The sequence below is a fragment of the Homo sapiens genome, chromosome 2 (genome assembly GCF_000001405.40).
Source record: "Homo sapiens chromosome 2, GRCh38.p14 Primary Assembly".
Lineage (NCBI taxonomy): Eukaryota > Metazoa > Chordata > Mammalia > Primates > Hominidae > Homo > Homo sapiens.
The window spans coordinates 220510394-220531204 of record NC_000002.12 but is presented as its reverse complement, the minus strand read 5'-3'; the positions used below and the strand labels follow the sequence as shown (position 1 = coordinate 220531204).

General features: G+C 37.6%; 1 long non-coding RNA gene across 2 annotated transcripts; it reads left to right on the top strand.

Annotated features, from left to right (window-relative positions):
- Positions 1–16068: 16068 nt before the first annotated feature.
- LOC105373894 (uncharacterized) lies at positions 16069–20569 on the top strand. 2 transcript variants are annotated; one of them, XR_923934.3, is made up of 3 exons: positions 16069–16233; positions 18410–18692; positions 20345–20569. It is a non-coding gene; the product is annotated as an uncharacterized LOC105373894 (long non-coding RNA). The 2 variants fall into 2 exon arrangements; XR_923935.2 differs by having other exon boundaries at positions 18410–18502; positions 20345–20556.
- Positions 20570–20811: the final 242 nt, after the last annotated feature.

The following is a 20811-nucleotide window of genomic DNA, read 5'->3' as shown; positions in this document are numbered from 1 at the left end:
GGAGTATTGCTTGAGCCCAGGATTTCAAGTTTGCAGTAAGCTATGACTGGGCCACCGCACTTCAGCCTGAGTGACAGAGTGAGACATATTAAACACAGCCAATATTTATTTTAGATATTATAATTGCTATTATTGACAAACCATACTTTTTCTGCTATTCCATTGGTGATCAACATACTCTTCTGAGGGCTTTACAGATATCCGTTTATTTATTCTTGATGGCCCCTTTATAAGGGAGGCACTAACGTTATCCTCAATTTATAGAGGGAGGAATGAAATACAGATAAGCAACCTGCCTAAACTCCCCAAGCTAGTAAGTGGCAGAGTCCAGAAGAGTGGAACCCAGGTGGTCACATCTCCAGAGCTTGCACTTTCTTGCTGTCTTAGCAACGCTCTAATATTGGACTTAATTCTACAGGAATTTTCAAATATAGGGATATCTACCATCTTTGCCATTTTTAGAAAGGTGATTCTGTTGGTATAATAGAGAGCAAATTAGAGAATGGGAGTACAAAGTATGCGAAAAGCTAAGATGAGACGTAAGTGATAAGGACCTAGCTCAGATTAGCAGTGCTGGGAGTGGGCAGTGGGTGATGACCCACACAATGTTTTCAGGATACCAAATGTGAAGAATCAGATGTGGAGAATAAGAGAAAAGAGGTAAAACCCAGTGTGATTAAGAATTGGTGAGTGATTACCTGAACTAGGAAGCATATTGAGGGGAGGGGAGAAGGCAGCTAGTGGGGATTTGGGAATTGCAATTGAGTCACCCACAAGATAGAAATTTGAATCTCAATTCAGAAGAGAGGTCAGCATTAGAGAAATAAAGTTGGGAGTTGTATTAGTTTCCTATGGCTGCCATTATAAATTATTCCAAACTGGCTTAAAACAACAGACATTTATTCTCATAGTGCTAGAACCTGGAAGCCAGGAATTAAGGTGTTGATGGAGCTCCGCTCCCCCCAGAGGCTGCAGGGAAGCAAGCCTCTTTCAGCTTCTGGTGATTACCACTTTTCCTTGGTGTTTTTGGCTTGTGGCCACATCCCTGCAGTCTCTGTCTCCATCTTTGTATCTCTTCTTCTGTGTTGTATTGAATCTCTTCCCACAAGTATCACAAAGACACTTGTGATAACATTTAGGTCCCACCCAGATAATATAGGATAATCCCTTCATCTCAATATTCTTAATTTAATTACATCTGCAAAGACTCTTTTTACAAATAAGATAAAATTATAGGCTCCAGAAATTAGGACCTGATATATTTGGATTGCCATTATTCAGCCTACTGCAGAAGTTATCAGAATATGAATGATTAGTAAGGAAGGAGAAAAATTCCCAAGGGTGAGAGATGGTAGGAAGTCACCTTGTTATAGGGGTAGAAATCTCTGAGCTGAGATCCCACTTGGTCACTGCTTGTGTGTCCCTAACCAAATGGCCTCAGCATTTTAGACCTCATTTCTCCCGTTGTCAAATGATGGAGCTTGACTGCCTGATTTTCCTCGAGTAGAAAACCTCAAGCATGCCTTTCCTCTAAATAAGTGTGCACAGCAACTTGGAGGCTATGGCTGTTTAAAATAATATTATTTTACTTAAATAGCAATATTAAAAAGATAAATTTAAGGCAAAACTGTCCATAAACCTGTCATTTAACCAAATCAATATTTTCTTTGTAGGGCATTTTCTTTTTTTTTTTTTTTTTTTTTTTGAGACGGAGTCTCGCTCTGTCGCCCAGGCTGGAGTGCAGTGGCGGGATCTCGGCTCACTGCAAGCTCCGCCTCCCGGGTTCACGCCATTCTCCTGCCTCAGCCTCCCAAGTAGCTGGGACTACAGGCGCCCGCCACTACGCCCGGGTAATTTTTTGTATTTTTAGTAGAGACGGGGTTTCACCGTTTTAGCCGGGATGGTCTCGATCTCCTGACCTCGTGATCCGCCCGCCTCGGCCTCCCAAAGTGCTGGGATTACAGGCGTGAGCCACCGCGCCGGGCCTGTAGGGCATTTTCTAGTCGTTGAAAAAACAGACACTTAATTTTTACATATTGGCCACAATTTCATAGATAGAATTCTATAACTTGCATTTTAATTTCAACTGTCACCAAGATTACCTTTCCACTTTGCTACAACCCACTTTTTAAAATCTCCCCCTCCCTACCCTGCCCGAGCTGACACATTGAATAGCTGAAGGACATGCATTCTATGTGAGTGGCGTCCCCCTAGAGTTGTGCACTGGCAGCCCCATGAGAATGGGAATCTGCCTTCTGAAATGATGTACAGTTTCTGCCCATAGGAATACACCCAACAATATCAACACTACACAGCTTTCATTAAGGTTCTTTTCAGCTCTACATTCAGATTCTAATTCCTACCAAGGTGACAATAGATTCTAATGCAGAGACTTAAAGAAACTTCTCATAAAGCTTTTGTGTTAGGTAAAGCTTGAAACAATAGTTTAGAGAGCTAAAATAAGTCCCGTATTGAACTTGTTCAACTTTTCACTTAGGCGATATCTCAACTGTTGTTGCCCAAAGGATTAGATCCCATTCAAACATAACTACTTCAAACTGTATTGACATCATTTTCCATGACACAAAATCACTGCTACGATTCAGCTCTAGCACCAGTCATTCTCTACTCTGCGTAGAAGTGCTGAAAATAAGGCAAGACTGCCCCAGTTTTCTGTAATAAATAGCAATCTGAATATAACTGGAAAACTTCAGAAATATTCTTAGAAATCTATTTATTCTATTTAGTCTTTGCTTTTTTTTTTTTTTTTTTCCAAGCATACTCTCTCCTTAAATAACCTCATGATTCATGGGCACATGCTTGCATTCACACATTCCTCTCCCTCTCTCACACACACACAGATTGGTGGAACTATCAAAGTGTTATAATCAATTTTTGTTCAGTCTACACTAAAATTTTAAATGGTACCAAAGAGCATGAAACTAAAAGAATCGATCATCCTTTATCATCTCTGCTCAGTGTGAAGTTAATGTGAAATGGTCATTCTTGTTTCTTTCTAGTGGAATAGAAAACAAATTATACTTGCCACCTGAAACCTAGAACATTGAACACCTCCTTTGGAGGCATGAGGTGTCCTCTGTGCAGGGATTTAATGAAATTAATTTAATGATATTAAAGGTGTTACAGTTCACAGAGGTGTGCATGTCTGGTTGAAAAGGCTGTGTACAGCTCAGCACTCATAATGCTGAACAGAGTTAAACTTGCGCTTTGGGTCTCGTCTGCAATTAGCTGCTATTCTGCCTCTTCATTCACTCTGGAGGAAGCTTCCTGGGTAGGTGTGGCTTTGGGCAAGTTACTTAACCTCTCCATGCCTCAATTCTTTCCTTTGTTGGTGAGAATTGGGCTAACAGCACCTTCCTTAAATAGATGTTCAGAGGGTAAGTCAAATGATGCTTGTGAAATACAAGATAGTGCCTGAAGTATAGTAAGTGCTCAATAAATGTTTGCTACGCTATCCAACTCCTCATTTCATCAAATGGTTTAGTCATTCATTTAATCAACCCACTTTACCAGGGGGTCCATGTGGACAATTTGCAGAATTTCCATCAGACTCATTCATTTGACATATTTTTCAAATCTGATTACAGTTGCCCTGCTTCATCATGTAGTAGCAATGTGAAAATTCTATGGTCACCCAGTGGGGCCATTTTGTAACATAAAATTCTTTGAGGAACTGGAAGTCCAGTTATACCCCAGAGACTGTTGGTAAAGCTGGCTTGCCAATTCTGTGTTAGACATGAAACCCTGAATATCAGGGGGACCTAGTTTGGGAAACTGGAGTAGGTGCAAGTCTCCCAGTGAGTTAAGTGAAACCTATTGCATCTGAACCTCTAGACTGGCCTGTGATTGAAATGGCTGGGCACGATGCTGTTTGCCAGATTCCCAGGGGATACTCTGATCTTTTTATTTTCATTTTCTATTTATCTGTTATTGAATACTTTTGGACACTGTGATGCCAACATAGCAGATCTCAGTGGTAGCTTCCCTTTCTATTACAAAAAAGATCAAAGGACATTAGAGCTGTGAAAAATATCTTACTTTAAAACAACATAGGCAATAACTGTTTTTGAAAATAGTTTTTATCTTCTAAAACTCAGTGCTGGTTAAGTCTTTAAGTCTTTACATGCAATTATTTCTTTTACTCACTTAGAAAACTGAGACCCGGAAAGGTAAAATATTTTTCATCCAGGGGTACCCCTAATTATCCAACTCTGGGCTATTCTTTGAGGACTTGCTTAGATGACTGTCTGTCTACATTAATTTGATTGGCTACATCACTAGTCAAGTTCACATGTCATCCGTGCAAATGGCCAATCTTTACCAAATTGTAATCAGAGCTTACATTATATAATGCTCTGCAGTTTTGGTATGTCATCTACATTATGCTTCACAGAATACTATAATACACCTATGTTGTGTATGCCAAGATGGGGGATTATATTTCTATGTATATTAAGATGAGACATTCAGATAAAGAAAGTGTAGTTTATTTACCAGTGGTTCCATAGCTGATGAATGGTATAGTTGAGCCTTGCATGCAGGCCTCAGATTCCCTATTACATGCTCCTCCCTCCTAAGGAAATTTCCCTGGGTGTAAGGAATAGCTTGCCATAGGGAGTTATCTTAATTAGCATAGAACTAGACCACCTGGGAATGGAACACATGTTGGGATCTTGTGGTAAAGTCAGTGACACCAGGAATAAAGACAGGGTTTAGATAAATACATTTATTCATTAAATAGAACCTTTAACTCCTTACCAATATTGAGGAGACTCAGGCCTGCTTACACACAAATTTGGTAAGAAAAAGGTATTTAATTGTGTTTTCTGGACTCCTACCGTATTTCCCCATATTAGTTCATGCATATATAAAAAAATTTGAATCCTAACTCAATTACAACAGCCCCCCACACCAAAAAAGTATTTTAAATCCTAAGAATTTCATTCTTACCTGTCCTGCAGTATTGCTGTTTTTCCAGAAGCCAAATTACAAGTTGTAAAAGAGGAAAGCTTTTTATGGGAACAGCTAAACAGTGATAGAGTCATTTCCTTAAATGATACTTATCTTTTAATAATAATGCCATAAAGATAGATTAAAAGCAGTTGTTTGTTGGGGTATTAAGTTCCAGTACAGAATTAAATTGACTGTGCCTAAAAAATTCACAGCCCCACCTTTGGTGTTAACGTATCTTTACAGATTCAACTTTATAAAGATGTATTAATTGTGATTAGTTGCTACAATCTACATAATATTCTTGCTTATATCATAGCAATTTCTTTTTTAAATTTAAAGAGCTGTTTGTTCTTTCATATTTTAATTATATTGGTTAGTTAAACCAGCTGTAAGTGAAAAAAGGTAATGGCTGAGGATTTTGCACTGACACCAACTCTGTTTTGTAGTTGCAAACTAGAAACAGCCTGGTCTGACAGGGGTGGAACTGGCCACATGCGAACAAGTAGGAAACTGAGGATGACTGAGGGCCCTCTTTCTTCCCTGCCACCCTCAAACAACACCTTTATTTAGAACAACTTCAGTTCATATCCACAAGACAACTCTCAGAGATCTGTTCTACTCACTGAATTGTGCACTTAGTCCCCTGAAAATATCCTTGGAGTGTCACTTTGATTCCCAGGAGGCAAAGAAATGTGGCAAAGGATGGGAAGAAGAGAAGATGAGGACAAAAACTCCAGTATCACTCAGTTCTTCTAGTGATGGCAATAGAGAGTTAGGTATGTACATGTGTATGCATGTATGTTTGTGTCTGTGGGTCCATGTTTATATCTGTGCATTTGCCAATTATTTTATTTATTTATTTATTTAGTTAGTTAAACAGAGTCTCATTCTGTCACCCAGGCTGGAGTCCAGTGGTGCAATTTTGGGTCACTGCAACCTCCACCTCCTGGGTTTAGGTGATTCTAGTGCCTCAGCCTCCTAAGTGGCTGGGATTACAGGCGTGTGCCATCATGACCAGCCAATTTTTGTGTTTTTAGTAGAGATAAGGTTTTACCATGTTGGCCAGGCTGTTCTCAAACTCCTGACCTCAAGTGATCTGCCCACCTCCGCCTCCTGAAGTGCTGGGATTACAGGCATGAGCCACCATGGCAGCCTTATTTTAGTTTTAAAGAAAAAGCTCAGCGCACAAAGCACCTCTTGGTTTACAAAACCATTGATCTGTGCTCTATAATATGCATGTATGTATATATGTGTCAAGGAGGGGATGTTACCCTCAAGATACAATGTACTCTACTTGAGCAGATATGTACTATACCCCTAACCTAAGGATGGCAATTCAAAATCCTAAACCCATTTTTAAACTATTCCTAGACTGAGATTCTTTTTATTATACAGGGCTTCATAGTTTGGATGTCTGTACCCCTCGCCAAATCTCATGTTGAAACGTGACCCCCTACTTGGAAGGTGGGGGCTAGTGGGAGGTGTTTGGGTCATAGAGGTGGATCCCTCATGAATAGCTTTGTGCCCTCCTTGTGGTAATTGGTGAGTCCTTGCAGTATTTCACTCATATGAGAGCTGATTGTTTGAAAGAGCCTGGCACCTCCTCCCTTCTCTTGCCATATGACACATCTGCTCCCCCTTTGCCTTCCACCATGATTGTCAGCTTCCTAAGCCCTCACCAGAAGCAGGTGCTGGTGCCATGTTTCCTGTGCAGCCTGCAGAACCATGAGCCAAATAAACCTCTTTTCTTTATAAATGACTCAGCTCCAGATGTTCCTTTGTATCCATACAAAGTGGACTAACACACGGCTCCTTTATCAAAATGCCATTGCGTGGTTACCACTCATGACAATACTGAGTTCCCTAATAGGCAGGTTTCCAATCTGGGCTCATGAAGATGGATCTTAAAGAGAAAAGCCAAAGATTGATATCTTTCAAATTTAAAAAGGGATAGTCTCCCAACACCAGTAATAATCAATAACAATTGACCAAAGGTCTATCTTGTGCTGGATAGCATGTGAGGACCTTTATACAAATCACCGAGAATCCTTAAGACCATTCTGCAAGGCAGGAGTTACTCACCTATTCAATGGATAAATAAGAAGTTAGATGGTTGACTGCTTTGTCCAGGGTCACACAGAAAAAGCCAAGAAATCAAACTGGGATATGTCCAGGTCCAAAGCCCATGCCACTTCACTTGGGCAGGACTACTTGCTCTTACAAATGTCTCTTGGGGCTACTTTTTTCCCACTTATTATTATTTATTCTGAACTTCACAAAAAATACATAGCAATTGTAGAAAACTTAGAAGATATGGATTAACCAAGATATAAAAGAGAAAGAAATATTATTACCCTAATTACCAATAAATTACCACCATTAACATATTGAAGTGTATTATTCCAGATTTTTCTTACCTCTATATCTATATAGTGGTACATAGATAACTATATAGTAACTATTTTATAGGCACTATATCTATCTATTTTATATATCTATATATCTATCCAAGTAGCTTATATCTATAAGTGTTAGTCTGTTCTTGCATTGCTATAAAGAAATACCTGAGACTGGGTAATTTTGAAAAGAGGTTGAATTGGCTCACGGCTCCACAGGCTGTATAGGAAGCATAATGCTGGCATATTCTTGGCTTCTGGGGAGGCCTCAGGAAACTTACAATCATTGCAGAAGGCAAACAGGGAGCAGGCATGTCACACAGCCTGAGCAGGAGCAAGAGAACAAGGCACCACACAGTTTTAAACAGCCAAATCTCACAATAAATTACTCACAATCATGAGGACAGCACCAAGGGATGGTGCTAAACCATTTATGAAAAATTTACCTCCAGGATCCAATCACCTCCAGTCAGGCCCCATCTCCAATACTAGGCATTACAATTCAACGTGAGATTTGGGTGGGGACACACATCCAAACTATATGACTACATTTTGTGCCATCTGATCTCTTTTAAGTGTCGAACATTCCATCTAGGTATGTGTTTTTTTTTAACAAGAAATAAAAAGATTATAAATACTGCTTTTTCCTTTTTTTTTTCTTTTTCTACTCAGTACATTCTGAACTTAATATATTCTTAGGCATAATTTTTGTTACAGCAATTTGGTGAAAAAACATCAGTCTGCGTCTGTTTGTGTGACCACAATGTGCAAGTTGCCATCAATTCAGGGGCCTCATGAACATATAACAGAGCTGCACAGGATCAACTTGTGTAGCTGCAATATAATGCACTTTACCAATCTCCTGTTGTTGGACATTTAAGCAGCTCCCAATTTATTTATTAACAATGCTGCAATCAGTATCCCTATATATTTAATATATAATCTTGTACATTAATAGAATTACTTTAAGTATTTCTTTAGAATAAAATTTTAGAGCCATAATTCCTCAGCCAAATACTCTTCAACATATACTTAAGATTTGGGAAACATATTACCAAATTGCAGTATGATTGCTATTCAGTAATATTTTATCAATTTACTCCCTTACAGGTCAATGTGAATAAAGCTGTTTTCCAGGATATAGTGGCTGAGTAGAATAACAGATTTATAGCTATTCAGTCCCCATATCCATGCCAATTCAGGGAATATTATTAGCCTTTGAAGTTCAAAGAAACAACAACACAAAGGTATATTATTTTTATTTCTATTTCTTTGTTAGGCTGACCATTTTTTATATACATGTAAGTATATTCATGCACCTATTTTAGTATGTGCATGTGTGTGTGAATTGCCCAATACCTATTTTAAGTGGGTAAACTCTCAAAAATCAATTCAAAATTACATATTCATCACCTATATGAGAATAGTACCTCTTATTAACTAGTACCTCATTCAACCAAATTTCACTGAGTGCTTACTAGGACTGACATTCATGCCAGCACACAGATTGTCTATAGCCTTCTGATTGTTTGCTGCCCATGTTGAACTGGTAGTTAAATATTTTAAATATCACCCTGGTATTTACTATCTGCTAAAGTTCCATTCTGACATTGGAAATTTAGCAGTGAACAAAAACTTAAATCTCTGTATTATGACACTTACATTCTTACCTAAAGATACATGTATAAAATATATAGTATCTCTGGAGAGTATACCAAAGGTAAAATAAGGCTTAAGCTCCTTTCAGCTCACATAGAGACATGGCACATAAAATATGCAACAATTATAAGAAAAGATTATACTCAGCTTTAGGACATATTCATTTCATTGTAAGGCTATGAATACATTGATCAATCTCAGCAGAACCCTGCCCAGATCTGCCATACTTTCCATTTCTCCTATTCTCTACCTGTGGGCTGAAACGCCACATTTTCTTTCCTTGGAAGCAAGTCTTTCCCAGTAAGATTTTGGGCAGCATATTATGCCACCCCCAGGCCTGCTGGCGGCGGAGGAGGACATAGCATCTCCAATCTGCTCTTTTCTTTGAGGCATTCTAATTGGAAGTCCTGCCTGGAACACATGGTCAGAGTGAGGAGCCAAGAGCAGAACAAAGGACAACCACTCACACGCATTTCTTCTCAATCTGGTCCAGGCTTTCTGGCTCAGCAGGGAGGTCAACGCTGCAAAATACTAAATGGTGAAGGGTCAGCAGGTGGTAAGTGGTCACATCCCTGACAAGCCCTGGACATGAGAGAAGAAAGATTGGCTAGACAGATTTTTAAAGGAACTAAAATGGAGACTGGAAAATTAAGATAAAATGGAAGAGGGAAATTTAATGGGAAATTCACTACTCTAGACTTCCCTGCCTAATGCCCTTCCAGGATTTAAAACTGCTGAGAGAAGCTACAGCTTTTCTTTCCTTAAAAACTAAAAAAAAAAAAAAAAAAAAAAAAAAAAAAAAAAAATTGCTAAGGAGATATACTCCTGACATTGTGGAAAAAAAAAAAAAAATTGAGGTGGAAGTAGCTAGATTTGGATTTTAAGCCAAGCTCTTAAATAAACTTATTTTGTGGTCTTGGGGATATATTGTTGCTTCCAAGGGCCTCAGTTTTACTTAGTGTGAAATGGACTATAACCAGTGGATTGTATCAACAGCTCTAACTCTGTTGTCTAAGGACCTCTCTCACCAACCCTGTGAAATCTTTAAAAAAAAAAAAAAAAAAAAGGTGCGTGAAATACTGTGTGAATGTACAGTTTTCTTAGAATAGAAGGCTTTCCTCAGACTTGCAAAGGGATGCCCGATGGTGAGAAAGGAGACATTGGATTGATGAACCCTATGATTCTTTATAATGCTTAGAGAATAGGGTTTTACACTGTCATGTGGGTCCCGACTGTGAAATCAGAATTGTTCCAAGGAAGTTGTCTACATCAGGCAGTCTCAAGCCAATAGAACTTTACCCCAATACCGAGTCCACTCTACCTCCAGCAAGGGGAGGACTTTGCTAAGAAGTGAAGCTCAAGGTTTTGAAAATCTGGGCTGCCAACCCTTCCCCTCCCTGAAACTCACTGTCCAGCCTTCTTGCTAGCCTTCATCTTTCCCATTCCTCCTGGCCACTGGAGAAGTACAAATCCTACTCATCAACAAAGACAAGTCACCTGCTGACTCTTTCATGGCCAGAACGACAGAAGTCAGTGAGAAATAATGTATGATCTGATCTAGGAATGTCTTTACCTAATTGTTTAAGAATAAAAACAGTCAAATATCTCTCCTACAGATAATCCACATGTCAAAGACTGATAGATGGGAGTAGAAATAGAAGTCTACTTGCAAATGTTTCATGAAGCTTTTTCCAAGGCAGCCAATCCTCAGATGTTTCATTCCACATTGCCTTAAAAACTCCTGGTTCTCAGCAAAAACTTTTCTTTCTACCACCCCTATTTGAAGCACATGTGCGTGGACATGCACACACACACACCACACATAATTTTCGTTAAAAAGTAAAGTAAATATTAAAAAGACAGAAGGAACAAGAGTACATATCTGAAATTCTGGAGACGCATTTTGTTTTGTTTTGTTTTGTTTTGTTTTGTTTTGTTTTTTGAGACAGAGTCTTGCTCTGTGCCCTAGGCCAGAGTGCAGTGACACAAATCTCAGCTCACTGCAACCTCTGCCTCCCAGGTTGAAGCGAGTCTCCTGCCTCAGCCTCCCAAGTAGCTGGGACTACAGGTGTGCACCACCATGCCTGGCTAATTTTTTCTTCCTTCTTTCTTTTCTCTTTTTTTGTACTTTTAGTAGAGATGGGGTTTATCCACATTGCCCAGGCTGGTGTCAAACTCCTGACCTCAAGTTATTGCCTACCTCAGCCTTCCAAAGTGCTGAGATTACAGGCTGAGCCACCCCACACAGCCTCTTTTTTTTTTTTTTTTTTTTTTTTTGCATACAGAATTTTGAAAATTGGATTGAACAAAAAGGAAGAAAAGGAAACAAAGAAGAGGAAGAAATGGAATCCTCTAAAAGTTCCGTAACACTCTCATATGCCCTTCACAAGAAAACACTTCAATTGAGAATCTTAAAAGTAATAAATATCCTCACATTAGCACAGGTCAAGTTTTACCAAAAAGGTTTCAATCAGGAACTAAGTTACAATTTTTTAAGTGGTTAGAGCTGTTTAGATTTTGGAATTGTGGCTAATCTACTACGGGTTCCCAGTCACTCTCTCTGTTTTATTTTATTATTGGTTGGGATCTTAACCAAGATATGAGATAATTATCATAATCTATAAGTATTTATTATCATTTGTAGAAGATGGGGCACTTGCTTAAGATGACAAAGCTTTTCTCATTAGCTGTTTATAAGCCATAGACAATGCAGAAATTAGAAACACTGCATGACCATAACATTGTATAAATTCCATGTCATTCACAATATAAATTTAAAGTGCTTCTGTTTTAATGTGAAATTTGGGAGGGAGGACAAATTTGCTGCCTGTCTAATATCCACTCTTCCATTCCTTTTCTGGTTAATATTCCTTCCCTTCCTCTTCCATTCTTCACCTTGGTCATTATTTTCTCAGGGAAGTCTTCTTTGCCTGTCCTAACTAGTCCAACTTGCCTTACTAAAACTTTTCATGGTCATGGTATCATGTATGTTTCCTCCACTGAAAATACATAATTATTTGCATGATTTTTTAAAAATAGTACCTCACTCCACACGAGACTGTAAGTTCCCTGAGGCAGAGACTGATTCTTTTTTTTCTCACTATGATTTCTCCAGCAACTAGCAAACATTAGGCATACAGTAGGTACCTAATAACACAAATTGATGGGATGGGTGGACGAATGGGTGGATGGATGGATAATTGATTTACTATCAGAGAGGTCATTAGTGTCAGACTTAGATTAAAGTGAAAATAAGGCTATGTCTCATTTTACATACAGATAAGAGCAAATACATATGGGTGAGAGATTCCAAGACGTTATTTACAGTAGCTACATCCAGTGCCACAGTTCAGGTCTCCAGGTGTGCTGATAATAAGAGAAATAATTTGGAAATTTCAATCTCCATTTTGAACAGAACCAGTTTAGGAACTCCGAAAAAGAATATAATCCAAAAATGTACTAAACCTTGAAATAAAAACAAGATTAATCCAGAAAGATCCTCTTTAATCTTGGGCATATTCTCTTTCTTTTTTCTTTTTGGGGAAAATTGTAGGAAAACTGAGCTTGGGAAAGATTTATTGGCAAGTGATGATGGGTGAATTGGGTGAAGTTGTATCTCAAATGAACTCATTCAACAGCTTTAAAAAGTAGCCATTAAAAAAAAAGAACAAAAAACTTTTTCTGCAAAGAGATTTTCTATTCTTTCTCTCCTGGTCAATATCTCAAAAATAATTAAGTGCATGCAAATAAGTAAAGGAAACCAAAGAACTGGTAACTAATAGGAGTCATCCTAAGTGTATGAACAAAAAGAAACAGAGAAGAGGAGGGGATGGAATCCATTAAACTCTCCAAGTATCTAAGACCTGCCAGCAACAGCAAAAATGAGAACGAAAACCTTACCTTTTTGAAGTTCATCCATTACTAATTGAAAGGTAAGAAGTCTGATTCTCTATGCCTTAGGAAATAAAGACTTAACGGATGTCTTTATTGAAGACTCTGCTGTTCTAAGGGGAAGGAAGATGGATAACTCTTCCTAAGCCCTTTTGTCATGTCATATCCAAGTCCTGTCACCTAAACCTGATACACAATTAAACAACTGGCTGGGGTGTTGTCTTGACAGATTATTTGCCAGGCTGGAAATGAAGAGATATTTGCAGCACTATTCACCTCTCTTTCTGGAAGTGTTCCTAATGAGCAACATTACCAGCAGGAATTATTCTGTGTTTGCGAACATCTCTGTAAATGGAATGGGGAAAGTCAAGCTGAAAGCTAAACTACACAAATTAAAGGAATAAATAAGTATGCTAAAATAAGAGAATAGCATGAAAGAGGGAGATTAAATGGTTCTGTCTTTCATCTGAAAAATACTTCAAATTAATCAGATCACTATAAAGTCCATTAGAGACTAATATTTTTATTAATAATATTCCAATTTGTTCATTTAGATATTTTAATGAATTTTACTTTGCACCCATGTTTTAAACATTTCACTCAAAGCAACCATCTTTAAAAGATCATATTGCTTTGATGTGATAAAGGACTTCAACAACATATATTAATGAGGCTTAAGGACTGAAAGAAATCATGTTTGCTTCCACACATGCCTCCAACTTCAACAGATGTGAGAGTGTCATCTGATAATTTCTACTTCATTCTATGTCAAAACATCTGCATGGTATGGAATCAGCAATTATTCTCAAATGAGCATTTGAGCATTTTTATCACTATAATAAAGAGCTGCCAAGCAAGACTTTGTGCATGTACTGGTGCATGGGCATGTACAAATGTATCCATATCTAAACATTTTCATATATATAAAAGTGTGAGACATTCATACGTGTGTGTGCATATTCATATACATATATATGCATATTCATATATACGTACATATTGCATGCATCTAGAATATTATGCAAACATGGTTGTATAAATGTGTCCATATGTGTTTATATATGTAGTCTTGTCTCAGTAATTACAATTAAGACCATGTCTGCCATTTAACTTTTCTTTCTTCTCACAAGCAAAAGGGGAGAAATCTGGGAAAAGACTACCTAAATACTGAATACGTAGTTTTATAACTTTATTATACATAGGCTTAATCGGGACTACTTGTAAAATTTACTAATTTCTAAGGTATAGGATTCTGCATTGTAACAATTCCCTCAATGGTGCTAATGCCTGGTAACACACTATAAATACACTGACCTTGTGGCCAAGCCAATTTTAGGAAACATTACCATAAGGGATGTTTGCCTCTAAGAAAAGCTCAACAAACTCCAGTCTACTGTCTATTTTTGTTCAGCCTGAGAGCTGAGAATGATTTTTACATTTTCAAATGGCTGAAAAAAGTCAACGAAATAATATTTCATGACATGTGAAAACTATATGAAATGCAAGCATCCATCAATAAAGTTTTATTAGAATACAGCCACATTTGTTCTTTTATGTCTCATCTATGGAAGTTTTCTGGCTACAACACTAGAGGTGAACAGTCATAACAGAGACCATATGCCTCCACAAAGCCTGAAGTATTTGCTCTCTGGCCCTTAACGGAAAAAGTTTTCCAACCCTGTCCTAGAGCTGCCTCCCTACTCTGTCAGTGGTCTTTATGCCTACATGGGGCATACTGTTCTGCCTCTTCCAGCCTCCCCATGTTCTTAAAGAAGGAACTGACAGTATACACTCTTCATCTTCAGGAATTTTCTCATTGTATGTCTTGGCTCGTATCATCAATTTAAATATTATTTCCACTATTAAAAAAATAAAGTAAAGCTCAATGAAGAGATTAGAGAAAACAGAGATTCCCCACTGGTATCCTTGAAATAATACCATAACAGAATGAATGGCTCGATGGTACAGAGACTTCCTCCTTCTCAGAGTTACCCAAGGAAAGTTAGGGACTCCAAAACGTCAGGAGGAAGGTAGAGAAAAAAAATCAAGATTCTTTGAAATATTGACTTCAAAGTTTAGTTCAAACTCAAAATCAATGATTTATTGATTTATATTTTCTACTCTGCCTAGCTAGAAGTCTATAGAGATATCTTCCCCTGTGCCTTCTACCTGCAAAATGCATCCAAAAACCAACTTCTGACTCCAATACAGAAACAATACCTATATAAAAAGGAACTACATTTGAGGACCCTGAATCCTTCTTTTGTAGCAGTGATCAAAATGTAATCACAGTGACACTTCTGTGATTATCTCTTTAATATCTACTTCTTTCCAGGCTTTCTCATCTTGGGTCCTCATCTGAACCACAAAACCCCCAAAAATGCACAGAGATTTATTTTCTCAATTATTTCAAGAGATGTGACTCTATGCAATTGTGGGAGCTAATGATTCTGCTGATGTGAGTCTGTTATTTGTTTAACTGAAGCCTGCAGGACAGGCAATTAGCTGGAAAGGTAGGCTTGAGGTGGGTAAGCAAGGGCAAGCTAGAATCAGTCACAAGACTGACCTGGAATTCACACTGGTCTTTGATCATTTCCAAGGCTCAAACCTTGAGGACAGAGGTTCCTGCTATGGCCCATGCAGCCATACAGGGTTCTTTGCTTAGAAGAACCTCATGCTTATTTTAATGCTCTGCTATTTCTATCTTAAAATTTTAAATAACTTTTGAATAAAAGAGATCTCATTTTCACTTTACGCTGGGCTCCACAAATTATGTAACCAACCATGCCTGCTGCAGAAACTGGTATCCCTCATCATACACTTGGCTTAGGAGCTGGAGGAGCAGAAGCAGAAAATCCAACACCATCTGCAGACACTGAGGACCCAACCATCTCCCGACACCCACAAGAGAAGCCAGCAGGTAAACATGTGTGAGCTCCAGTGTGGTCTCATGCCTAGCAGTGACCTCCTCACAGAAAAGAAATATGGCTGCTCCTTCACTTCCACCTTCCAAATCCACCCCCCTCCCCGCCGCCCCCAAAGCACACACACACAAAACATCTTCAGTGGCCCACAGTAACAAGGAACTCTACAGAGAAAAGAATTCTGGGAAATGCAATTCAAGCTCAATGACATCACTCTGCTGCAAACCCACCATTCAAGCAAAGCCTTTGTGTGGACAAACCATTTCAGACAAATCCAGTGGGAGGCAGTAAGTGGAATGGAGAAAAAAAAACAAAAAAATTGGATTCAAAGCTCAGATCCACCACTTATTGACTAAAACTCTAAGCAAGTCGATCTCCCTGAGGTTCAGGTAACTCACCTCTAAAGTAAATGTTACAATACCTACTTGAAGAATCATTGTGAGAATTAGATAAAATATTTTTAACATACTTAAAACTGTTCCAGGAAATGCTGTTCAAGCTTAAGAAAAAAATTCTGCATTCACAGGTAAAACATATAGACAAATAATCAATCTAAAGAATGGTTTATGGTACTTAGTTGAGAGGATTAGGGCCCTTTTTAATCCTATTGCAGTCACCACTAGTGCAATCTCCCCAGATCTCCCTGGAATACCCCAAATGACAGAAAAAAGTAAATGTGTTCCTCCAGCAGCTTCTTGCTATAAGTGCAAAACTCCAGTAAGTCTTATTTTATCTTGAAAAATCCATGTGACTCTTATATTCTGTTATAGAATTGTATTTGTTTTAATGTAAACATTTTATGTTAAATTAGTTAGCAATTAGTTAGCAAATGCAAATATTTTAAGGATGTACTGATGAACAAAGAAGCAATGATCCCATCTACCTAGAAAATGAAAAGCACAGAGGTTCTAGAATAGGGAATTCTGCAGCCACAACTCCAGCTCTCAGTAGAGTCAAGGCGAAAGCCAATGTGAGTATGCAAATAAGCTACTTTGAACATAAAACCCTCAACAAGTACATAGGCCTCCTCCAAGAAGCCCTCTTAGAACCAGTGAATCCTGACCTCTTAGTTTCACAGCACTTTTTACCTAGGCTTCCTTCAACATAATTCATGGGCTACCACCCTCCCAAAGCCCAGATTCTGCAGCCCTGGAAGGCTAGGACAGTATTTAAAAAGTAAAATAAATTGCTGAAATCTTTTATTATTAAAGCACTGAGTGAAGCTTCACTCAGTGCTTTACTCATACAAAGCATGCTCAATAAATATGTATTAATCACCAGATGACTACTCTTCTCACCATGAATAATTGAGAAGGGCAAAAATTATCCAAACCAAAACTAAGCTTAACAACATTTCAAATCTAAGGACTGAAAGGGTGATTAAAAGCTATTGCATTATGAGAAAATGTGTTTCCAGTGTAAAAAAAAATTCATTTGCCAAGCATGCCAGGTTTATTTTGATTCAAAATGGGATTAGACAGCTAAAAAAAAAAAAAAAAAAAAACGTGATTTTTTGTTCTTTACAATTTTGGTCATCCCCAGGGGGTAGAAACTGTTCTGGTGTCACCTTTCCATCTTTATTCAGTGAGTTTTATCAGTGTGACTCAGATAGAAAATGTCCTCTAAGAGCTGGATTTACTTTGGTCTAAAAAGAGAAAATCTGTGAGACTGTGACAGTGTTGCTAAATCAAGAAAGATTTTTTTTCCTTTCTTTTAATTAACAATAAGTGATTCTATGTGTATTTTTTAGTGTACTTTTTCCCAGCCGAACACTGGTCATAAACCTTGACAACCCCTGATTTTGTTGTTTGTACTGACATTCTCTAGTCCATAGATTTTAGTAAAATTACCAACAACTTTTCTTGATTCTGTGATATTCAGTGATCACTGTATGTACAGATTGAGTTCCACAGTGGCAAATAAGTATGAATAAATATTTTAGGTACCTTAATAGGCTTATTTGTATCATTTTTTTTTCTTAATAAGAGAACATTCTTGCCACATTGGTCAACTGCAGCTACCAAAAGTGGTTTTAGATGGTTTCCACAACGCGGAATTTGAATAGCTTCACAACTGGCTCCCTTGATGCTCTGTTCACTCTGTCTTCAATGTCCTTACTCTATTTCTGAATATTCAAGTGTTGCTGCCTTTCATTTTTCAGCTTACACACTGCCGCTTCCATGAGGTCTTTCCAGACATCCCCTTCACTGTAATTGAGCCATAGACAGTAGTTAGCATTATTAATACTATTACTGTCAGCGATGTGTACCTCTAGCTTGACTGCCCTAAAACACAATTCCAAAACACTAACCCATGCACTTGGGGCCTTCCCACTGTCCCTCTCTGCACGCCCCTCTTGCACCATCACCTGCCACACATTTTGGACTCACTCTGACTCTGGTAGTGGGAATTGGAAAAGCAAAGTCTGAGAAGCCCTGGTACCACTGCCCTGATCTATCACAGTGGCTCATTGCCACCTTTGATCATCATGTGAATTTCTTGCTCAAGTTAGAGATTATAGCAATGAGCAATGCTTCCTAATTTCATTTTTCTCCCCCTTTTCAGGATCCTTGATATGCCACCATTTTCAGTCTCTGAACAGCCTAAAATCTAATTTTTGCCAGCTGATCAAATGGACTGTGAGGAGAAAATCCATAAGTAAGACCTAGATGTCAGACGAATAAACCTGCAGAGAATTGTGTTTAAATTCCATTGAGATGATACAAGTTTGCTAACTAGAATCCACGTATAATGACAGCATATTTTTCATCACTAAAATTCCATTGTCATTAACTCATTATCTGAAAGATTAGCCCATGATCACTTCAGATGAAAACTAACTGAAAATGTAAGGAGGCATTTCAACTTATTTCATTAAAAATGTTACATCATTAGGTGTTATTGATGAGGTTAATCATGATAATAAATTAGACTTTATGAAACTTTATTTAAAGAATTTAGATTGTTTTCTACAACAAAACTTGTTTGAATAATCTCCTCCTGTAATTACCAAAGAGGGCACTGACTGCTCATATTTTAAAGAGAAAAAAGGAACAAATTAGTTACATGATATACCATCTATGTTTTGGCGGAGGAAGAAAAATGGGAGACAGAAAAAAAAAAAGAAATTTGAACACAAAGCACTAGCTCTGAAATCCAAACGTACAGACCTTACCCATTTTTATCTTTACCATATTCTCCACCTTCAATGTGGCCCTTAACACAATGTAAATATAAAATTTGCTTTTTGATACAACTCATAACTAGTTTACTGAAAAATATTTCATCAGTATAATTTTCTAGGTAACTTTTTAAACCTTTATTTTATTTTTTAACTTAAAAACCTTTAAAAAAGCATTAGTGTAATTCTTAAGCTGTGTTTGTCAATACAGTATATGAAACACGTAAACTGTGATCTCAGTGAATCCATTTTTTTTACCACATTTTAACCTCCTTGATGATAAGAATATTTCATGTATCTTTTTATCCTTAAGAAACTATATCACAAAGAGTCAGTGTTTAAAATCATTTATATATTCCCTAGTTTATTTTAAGAAGGCTTAGGATGAAATTCTAAATTGGTTAACAAACAATGCAAACATCTTTAAACACTTAGTCATGGATAAACTCTATAGTATTGTTAAAATCACTGATATAAAGATAACTTTAGAATATATAATCTGAAAAATATTTTTTAAAATACCACCTTAGGAGCAGACTTTTATTATTATTATTTTTCCCTTTCTATTAATGTTGTCAATAAAAGTCTATTTACTTAAAGATTCCAAGTGGGAGACCATCAACTTTCAGATTTAGTGCTGCCAGTCTGAATATCTTCAATCCCTCACTGCTAGCCCAGCACATAGAAGGTGTTAAGAAATGTTCTTAATTAAAAATAAAGATTCACTGCATATTATATTATGTGCATGTGGGCAAAGACAAAAGTAATGATACAGGATTGTAAATTTATATTATTCCTGAAACAACTTGGTGCTTTCATCTTCATCTTTAGCAAAGACCTATACATGAATCAGCTAACTGGTATTTTGACTTGCAGTACAATTCAGAATCATGACACTCATTGGCAGGTGCAGAAAGTATGGTAAGGACTATGTATATTGGAAATCAATGCCCCTTAAGAAAATAATACAGTAAGATATAAATCCAGATATTCTGCCAGCTGACTCAAGTTCACTTAAACTGAACACTCGAATGAGGAAGGCCTGATTGAACAATCAGGAGGAGGCTGTGAATTCTGTCCCCTGCCACCAAGTTGTAAAGGTATCCCACTTTACATGTTTTCAGAGGGTCACCTTTGATGTGAGAGGGAGAGAAGGAGAAAGAGGAGAGAGGATGATAGTATGATGACTTGCTTTGGCAAGAAAAATAACTTCCTATAAACATTGGAGGTAGAAAATTCTCCCTGTATAACAGGCATAGTTTCATAACATTCCTGAAACAGACAAACCATGAATTGCAATGAATGTTTCATTCTTTCAGAATGCCATAAGTACTAGAAGTTAATTTATGGACTCGCCTGAAATGCAGATGCTCAATCTGAGTCCTCTGACAGCCTCACTATTTTAAAAGCAAGTTGGATCCAGCGCTCTTGAAGATGGAGAGGCAGCCGAGAACCACCTTCCCTAATTGCCTGATGAAGACTCCTCTTGAGTTGAGACACCAGCTTACTGGTTATTGTGTCTAATGAGTAAATTTGCAAGCCTCCCATTTTAAATGAGTTGTGTGCATTTATTTTACACAAATGAAGAGGTTGGGTAAAAGATTTTCTAATTTAGCCTTATCTTTTACACAATTTTAGACAAAGCAGAGAAAAACAACTTTTAAAAACTGGCCGATGTATTTTAATGTTTTTGTTGTTATTTTCTTTTTGGGGCAGGGAGATAAATAATAGGGCAGGGAGTTCTTTGTGAGGTTTTTCTGCCCATTAACAATTATATAACAAAGAT